A 6,693-nucleotide genomic window follows, 5' to 3' on the forward strand; every position below is an offset into this window, starting at 1 on the left:
GGGATCTCAGCTCACTGCAACCTTCGTCTCCCGGATTCAAGTGATTCTCCTGCCTCAGCCTCCCCAGTAGCTGGGGTTAAAGGCACCTGCCACCACGTCCAGCTAATTTTTTTATTTTTATTTTATTTTTTTAGTAGAGATGGGGTTTTGCCATTTAGGCCAGGCTGGTCTTGAACTCCTGACCTCAAGTGATCTGCCCACCTCAGCCTCCCAAAGTGATGGGATTACAGGCATGAGCCACCATGCCTGGCTGGCTTTCCCTCTTGAGCACATGCAGGTAGGCAGGAATCCCAGCCCCCTTTGCAGATGAGCAAACTGAGACACAGAGAGGTTCAGCCACCTGCGAAGGTTGCACAGCCAGGATCCACCGCCTTCTCGCAGCACCCACCCTCTTCCCAAGGAGTGCCCAGTTCAGCAAGGCAGATGACACCAATCCCAACTGGGCAGCCAGGTTTTATGAGGCCAGGACAAACAGCACTGATTTGAAGCCTCGTAGAGGGGTTCAAATCACAGGCCCTGCCACAGGCTGGCCTCAGGGTCCTGGGGGAGCTGTGGGCATGCTTCTGAGCCGTAGCTCCTCTATCCACCCAAGGGAGCTGGTAGCACTGGCCTTAAGAGTGTGCTGTGAGCCCGGGGGGTTGCAGCTGGGCATTGAATGATTCCTACCACCCCACAAATACCACTCTGCCCCTCCAATGGGGGCAACCCCTCATGGCCTGTCTCGGCAGCGTGGAAGTTACACTCTATTGCGTCACCCCCAGGAAGATGGAGAGAGGCCCCCAGGACCTCATGAGGGTGGTTTTCTGCATAATGAGATGCCTTGGATATTCCTAAAGGTCCGAGCCTAGGCCTCTGTCAGCACATCAGTGAATGCAGCCCTGCTGGACAAGCTCAGGAGGACTCCAGGATCCCGAGTGACACATTCCACATCCACACAGGCAGACTGGGGCCTGCAATTACAGATGGGAGGTCCCAAGGTCCAGTCGGGGGCTCCCACATGTTCCCAGGAAAGCACCAGGCAGGGAGGGTGGTGGGTAGCAGTTCTGGGCTTTGCTCCTCGCCAGGCCCCATTTCTTCATCTGTAAAATGGGGAGAAAATATTTTCCCTTCCTAACTGCATTGGAAAGACGAGATAAGCAGCTGACTGGGGAAGGTGGAACTTCCCACTCTAGCAATATTGGGCGAAATAAGTGGGTTCAGAGACTGAGCAGTGGTGCTGGCCCCAGACACTGGTGTGGATGCAACACGTCGCAGGACTCAGCCCGTCGAACCCCTGCCTGCCGCTGCACTGATGCCCCCTTCCCCCTCACAGAGGCCTGATGCCCGGCCATCCTGATGGCGGGAGCTCCCCTAGGCCTCCACAGCCGTGGTCCAAACGAACCCTGCACTCCACACCAGAGCTCCTCACCACTGGGGCACCCTGGGCTGCCCTCGGGGCTGGCACTCTCGGTGGTGGGGGCCGTCCCACACCTGGTAGGATGCTGAGCGGCACCCCCAGCCTCCACCCACTAGACGTTGGTAGCATTCGTTGTGACAACCAATTTATACCTAAACATTGCCAATACTGCCCCCATTGGAGAACCAATGACGGGTAGTCTAGACTGTCCATGTCACCTTCTCTTAGTCCTTCCCCAGACTGGGACGTCTCACAACCAAGTCCTTGTCCCACCCCACTCTCTATATCCCGGCATCCAGCACTGCCCCCTGCTGAGGGCTCGGCCAATGTTTCCTGAATGAATGAGTGGTCCCTGGATGTGAGCATGGGTCACACACCTCATGGTGATTGGGTGGGGGTTTCTCATGAGTAGAGGGACCCCCACATGCCAGGGCTGCATTGAGCAGGGACGTCAGTGACTCCCTCTGTGAAGGCGGCCACTTGAGGCAGGATTCTAGGAGCCTTTGTCACACCTGGCAGTGCACAGGATGATTCAGAGAGAGGCTGTCCCAAGGCCTCCCGGCTCACTGGTCGCAGTCTTCCCCGTCCTCCCGCCACCCTCCACACAGCACCACTGCCACCCACATCCCTGCTGGGCAGGAGAGGTGGTCGGGAGGGCAGACACAGGGCAGTGGGCGAGTCTGATCCAGGTTTTGTGAGGCCTCCCTATAAAGAAAGAATACAAACTTACAAAAACAAAATTAGGTATGACAGTGAATATTTCTTTAGGATGAGGAAAAAAAAAAAGCAAACATACAAAATCCAGAAAACCAACATCGTGTTTTTACGAAGGGCCTGCTCCATCTCCATAACACTTCTTCTTGAACTTTTTGGCTGCGTACTTTTTATCTATCTCATTGTTTGAGAATTTTACATCACCTACGATAGAAGGAATAGAAACATAATTGCTCTTCCTCCAGCATGGCTGATTGAAATTTGTTTTTTCTTATTTATAATTAGAACACATAGAACAGATGACTTAACACATGTGCACACAGCTTTGCAGTACAGCTAGAGGTCTGTGTACGTTAAACAACAAGTTCTGATCAATTCTATTTACAAGATTCCTGTTTGCAAAAGGAAGCAGGCCAGGCATAGTGGCTCCCACCTGTAATGCCAGTACTTTGGGAGCCCAAGGTGGGCGGATCACTTGAGCCCAGGAGTTTAAGACCAGCCTAGCCAACATGGTGAGATCCTGTGTCTACAAGAAAAAAAAAAATAGCTGGATGTGTAGTTCCAGCTAATTAGGAGGCTGAGGCGGAAGGATTGCTTGAGCCTGGGAGGTTGAGGCTGCAGTGAGCTGTGACTGCCCTACTGCACTGCAGCCTGGGCGACAGAGCAAGTCCCTATATCAAAAAAAAAGAGGAAGCAGCAATGCTGGGTGCACATTTGTAATTGTATACGATGCATTTATCAACAGACCATTTCTGCTCTGGCGAGGCCCTGATGAGAGCTGAATACTCTGCTTACAAAGGCACATGCCCGAGGACCGTCAGAGGGTCCACCGGGCGCTTGGGCTCCGTGTGTTTCAGACCAGCCTGGCCAACATGGTGAAATCCGCATCCATGTGCGGTGCAGAGCATGGCAGGGTGCATTCTCCTCCTCACCGTCTCTCCCAAGCACCTTCAGGTCGTGATGCCGAAGAAACCATCTATGCCCAGGTCTTAATCCATAAAGGTGCCTAACAGAGGTCAACGCTATTGAAAGGAAAGTCTAACATCGCTCTTGAAACATTCGCTAGAAATGAGAGACGTGGCAGGCCCCGCAGGGCGGCAGGGGGAAGCCGCAGGCAGAGCAGGAGGCAGAAAGGAGCTAGGGAAAGGCCAAGCCACAGCCTGTGTTGGCTTCCCTGTGAAAGCCGGGCAGAGCAGGGGAGACAGCTTGGGACGGGCTGATTTGTCTGATTCTGGGTTCCGGGGCTGTCCCTTGTGGTCTGGTTCTGGGCCTGGGTTGACACTGGGCAGGGAAATATTGGCTGGGGGTACAGAAGATGAAGGAAGTGGTTTGGAGCAGGGGCTCTGGGCAACAGGGGAGGTGCTAACAGCCCTGGTCAGGAGGTTGGCCCTGTCATCATGACTGCAAGTACTCAAACACAGCATCTAAGGAGGCACAGATCAAGGACGAAGCCAGCAGGAAGGTCAGTGGGGATGAGGGGGACTTGGGGGTCTTTCTTCCTCTGCCTCCTTCCCCTTCCCACACCGGAAGGTAAATTGTGTTCTTCTGTGAAAGTCACAAGAACTCTCAGACACCCAGAGAGTTCACACACAAACACAGGAAAAGACACAAGTCGTATGACCATCTCAACAGATGCAGCCTAGTGTTTGATGACACTCACTGTCTGTTCTTAAGGAAAAGCTCAGCCCTCTGGGAAGAAAAGACCCATTGTTAAGCTGATGAAGGCCATCTATGGAAAAAGTCAGAGCTGCCAACAGAGCTAACAGGAAAATGTTGAAAGCTTTCTTTACAAGATTGGCAAGGGGACAAAGAATCCTATTAGTGCCACTGCTATTCAATATCAGCCTGGATGTGGCAGACTGCACAGTGAGTCGGGTAGTTTGTGAAGAAGAAAGCAAAACTGTCTTTATTCACAAATGATATGGTTGTGTATGCAGAAGAGCCTACATAATCCACAAGGAAATTCTGAGGATTCAGAGGAGTTTAGCAAAGTTGTTGGGTTCAAAATCCATAGGCAAGATTCCATTTTCTTACTATATATTAGCAACAATGTTGGAAAAATAAAATTTATAAAAAGACATAATAGCACAAAATATCAAGAATCTAAGAATAATGTGCAAGGTCACTATACAGAAATGTTATTAGTAGGCATTAAAGATGGTCTAAACAAATGGAGATACCATGTTCATGGATTAGAAGACTCAAAATGAATTCTTCCCAAATTAATTAATTTTTTCCAAATTGATTTGTAGAACTAAAGAAATTGCTATCCAAATCCTAACCAGGTTTTTGTGGAACTTAAAATACTTACCCTAAAATTTGTGTTGTTTTCGTTTTTGATTTTTTTTTTTCTTTTTCTTCTTCTTCTTATATTGAGACGGGGTTTCTCTATGTTTTCCATGCTGGTCTCAAACTCCTGGGCTCAAGCCATCCACCCGCCTCAGCCTCTCAAAGTGCTTGGATTACAGGCATGAAGCACTTCATCCAGACTAAAATTTGTATGGAAATACAAATTCAATTTGACAAATATTTGGCCAGGCATGGTGGCTAATGTCTATAATCCCAGCATGTTGGGAGGCTGAGGCGGATGGATCACATGAGGTCAGGAGTTTGTGACCAGCCTGGCCAACATGGTGAAACCCCGTCTCTACTAAAAATACAAAAATTAGCCGGAAATCACTTGAACCCAGGAGGCGAAGGCTGCAGTGAGCCAAGATTGTGCCACTGTACTCCAGCCTGGTCAAGAGAGCGAGACTCCATCTCAAAAAGAAAAAATAATAAATAAAAAATATTTATTGAGCCCCTTAGTCCAGGGACTGCTTCTGGTACTTGGGACGCCTCTAAGAACCCCACCCACAAAGACCCTTCTTCGTAGACCTTAGCAGGAGAGACACACAGTAAAGAGTAAACACAATACATAAGCAAAGTACCCAGTATGGCAGGAGGTCATAACTGTTTTGCAAAAAACAAAGACTACAGAGGGGAGGGTCACCAGGACATCTAGGGGCAGAGGTGGGGTGAGAATCCAACCTTCCACACGGGCCATCTCTGCGACCCATCTCTGTGACCCCAACCAGAGGCCCCTTGCCGGTCATCCTGTTCCAGCTTCTGATGTCCTGATGTAGAAGCGGCTCCTCCGCAGCTCTGAGGTGAGAGGCCAAGCCCTCCATGACCCCAAAAGGCCAGGGCTCCCCAAGTGTTATCCACAAACACACCTGTGGGGACTGCAGGCTCCTACAAGGCGCCCTTGCACAGGTCTCTTGCAGAGCTTCTCCACCCACTCTCTGGGCCCTGACACTGTGGGAGGGTGCCTGTCCTTACCCCAGCCGGATGTCCCACCACACTCCTGCCTGGGGACTTCTGGCATGCAGGAGAGGCTGGACACGCAGGTGCAGAGAGGCTTGCCCCAACGCCGTTGCCCGTTTTACCTTGAAGTTCGTGGTTCTTTAATTCTTGCTCCAAACTGTGAGTCAACCTTTAAAATATATGATATTGAAGTTCTCCTTCAGCCTCCAGTCTTTCATCAGAGTTAAATCCAGAGATTTCATGAGCAGTAGATAGATCTGCAGTAGAGAAAAGTGCTCCAAAGGTGGGCGCACCTGGCTCCCATTTGGAGGTGTTTATAAATGCTTTTATGTAGACCCCTCCTAGATGACGAGGAATGGCCTCAGAGCAACCCTGGGAAGGATGAGGAGGGGTCTGGGGACTCCAGACGAAATTGCACAGCCACCTACCGTGTGAGTGGAAACCCATGCTGCTTCTGCCTGGCCTCTAGGATCCGCATTCAGGGGAAGCCGCGTCCCTGCGGTCATGAGACGTGATTGTTCAGACCAATGGATGCGGCTAAGCAGAATCATTTCATTTCCCCCGCACTTGCCAAAGGCAGGGACTTTCCTGTTTGTCCCTGCCTGATATGCAGGAAGGGCTCAGAACTACTTAAGAACAAATCAATGAACCTATGGCTTTATGGCAAATACCACAGAAACAACCTTATAAATGGGCTGAGGAGGCTGTCTGGCCTCTAAGAAATGACCTCATCTCTCTGAACCTTAATTTCCTCATCAGTAAAGTGGCAGTGCAGCCCCTCCATCACAGGACGCTCCCTGGCAGAGTGCAGCCCTGCCATGCAGCAGCCGGTATGACCTCGTCCTTGTGATCAGGAGGGCCCTGCTGAACTGTTTCCGCCCCGCAGGCGCCTACGAAACCCAGGAAATGATGTGGCCTTCCTGGAGCCATGCAATGGCTTTGTTGTCACCAGGAAAAGGGCCTGTGGCACCCGCCTGGCCACTCATGTCCTAAATGAGACAGGCCCTCTTCATCGGCCTCAGTGGCTCATTGAGATGAGGACTTGGGAATTTTGCTGTTTAACAGAGCAACTGAGCACCCAGGTGGCTGCCCCAGCAGACTCTGGAGACGTTTCAGGAGACCTGGCAGGGACCCAAGCCTCTGCCACTGCACCAGACCCTGGCCAGAGGGCTGGGCTCAGAGCCCTTTATTGTTTTATTTTTATTTTTTATTTTTTAGAGACAGAGTATTGCCCTGTCTCCCAGGCTGGAGCACAGCAGTTGAAACCATACCTCACT

At 50.9% G+C, this 6,693-nt stretch overlaps 1 long non-coding RNA gene across 4 annotated transcripts; it reads right to left on the reverse strand.

The window, feature by feature from the left end:
- Positions 1-226: 226 nt before the first annotated feature.
- LOC105379437 (uncharacterized) lies at positions 227-6,262 on the reverse strand. Of its 4 annotated transcripts, none has more exons than XR_950640.2 (4): positions 5,432-6,224; positions 2,193-2,314; positions 1,774-2,101; positions 227-1,079 (listed from the first exon to the last, which is right to left on the reverse strand). It is a non-coding gene; the product is annotated as an uncharacterized LOC105379437 (long non-coding RNA). The 4 variants fall into 4 exon arrangements; XR_007061539.1 differs by lacking the exons at positions 227-1,079; positions 1,774-2,101 and adding an exon at positions 4,422-4,599 and having other exon boundaries at positions 2,137-2,314; positions 5,432-5,585; positions 5,845-6,262; XR_950639.2 differs by lacking the exons at positions 227-1,079; positions 1,774-2,101 and having other exon boundaries at positions 2,137-2,314; positions 5,432-5,673; positions 5,845-6,224.
- Between the last annotated feature and the right edge of the window lie 431 nt (positions 6,263-6,693).

Source organism: Homo sapiens, chromosome 9 (genome assembly GCF_000001405.40).
Source record: "Homo sapiens chromosome 9, GRCh38.p14 Primary Assembly".
NCBI lineage: Eukaryota > Metazoa > Chordata > Mammalia > Primates > Hominidae > Homo > Homo sapiens.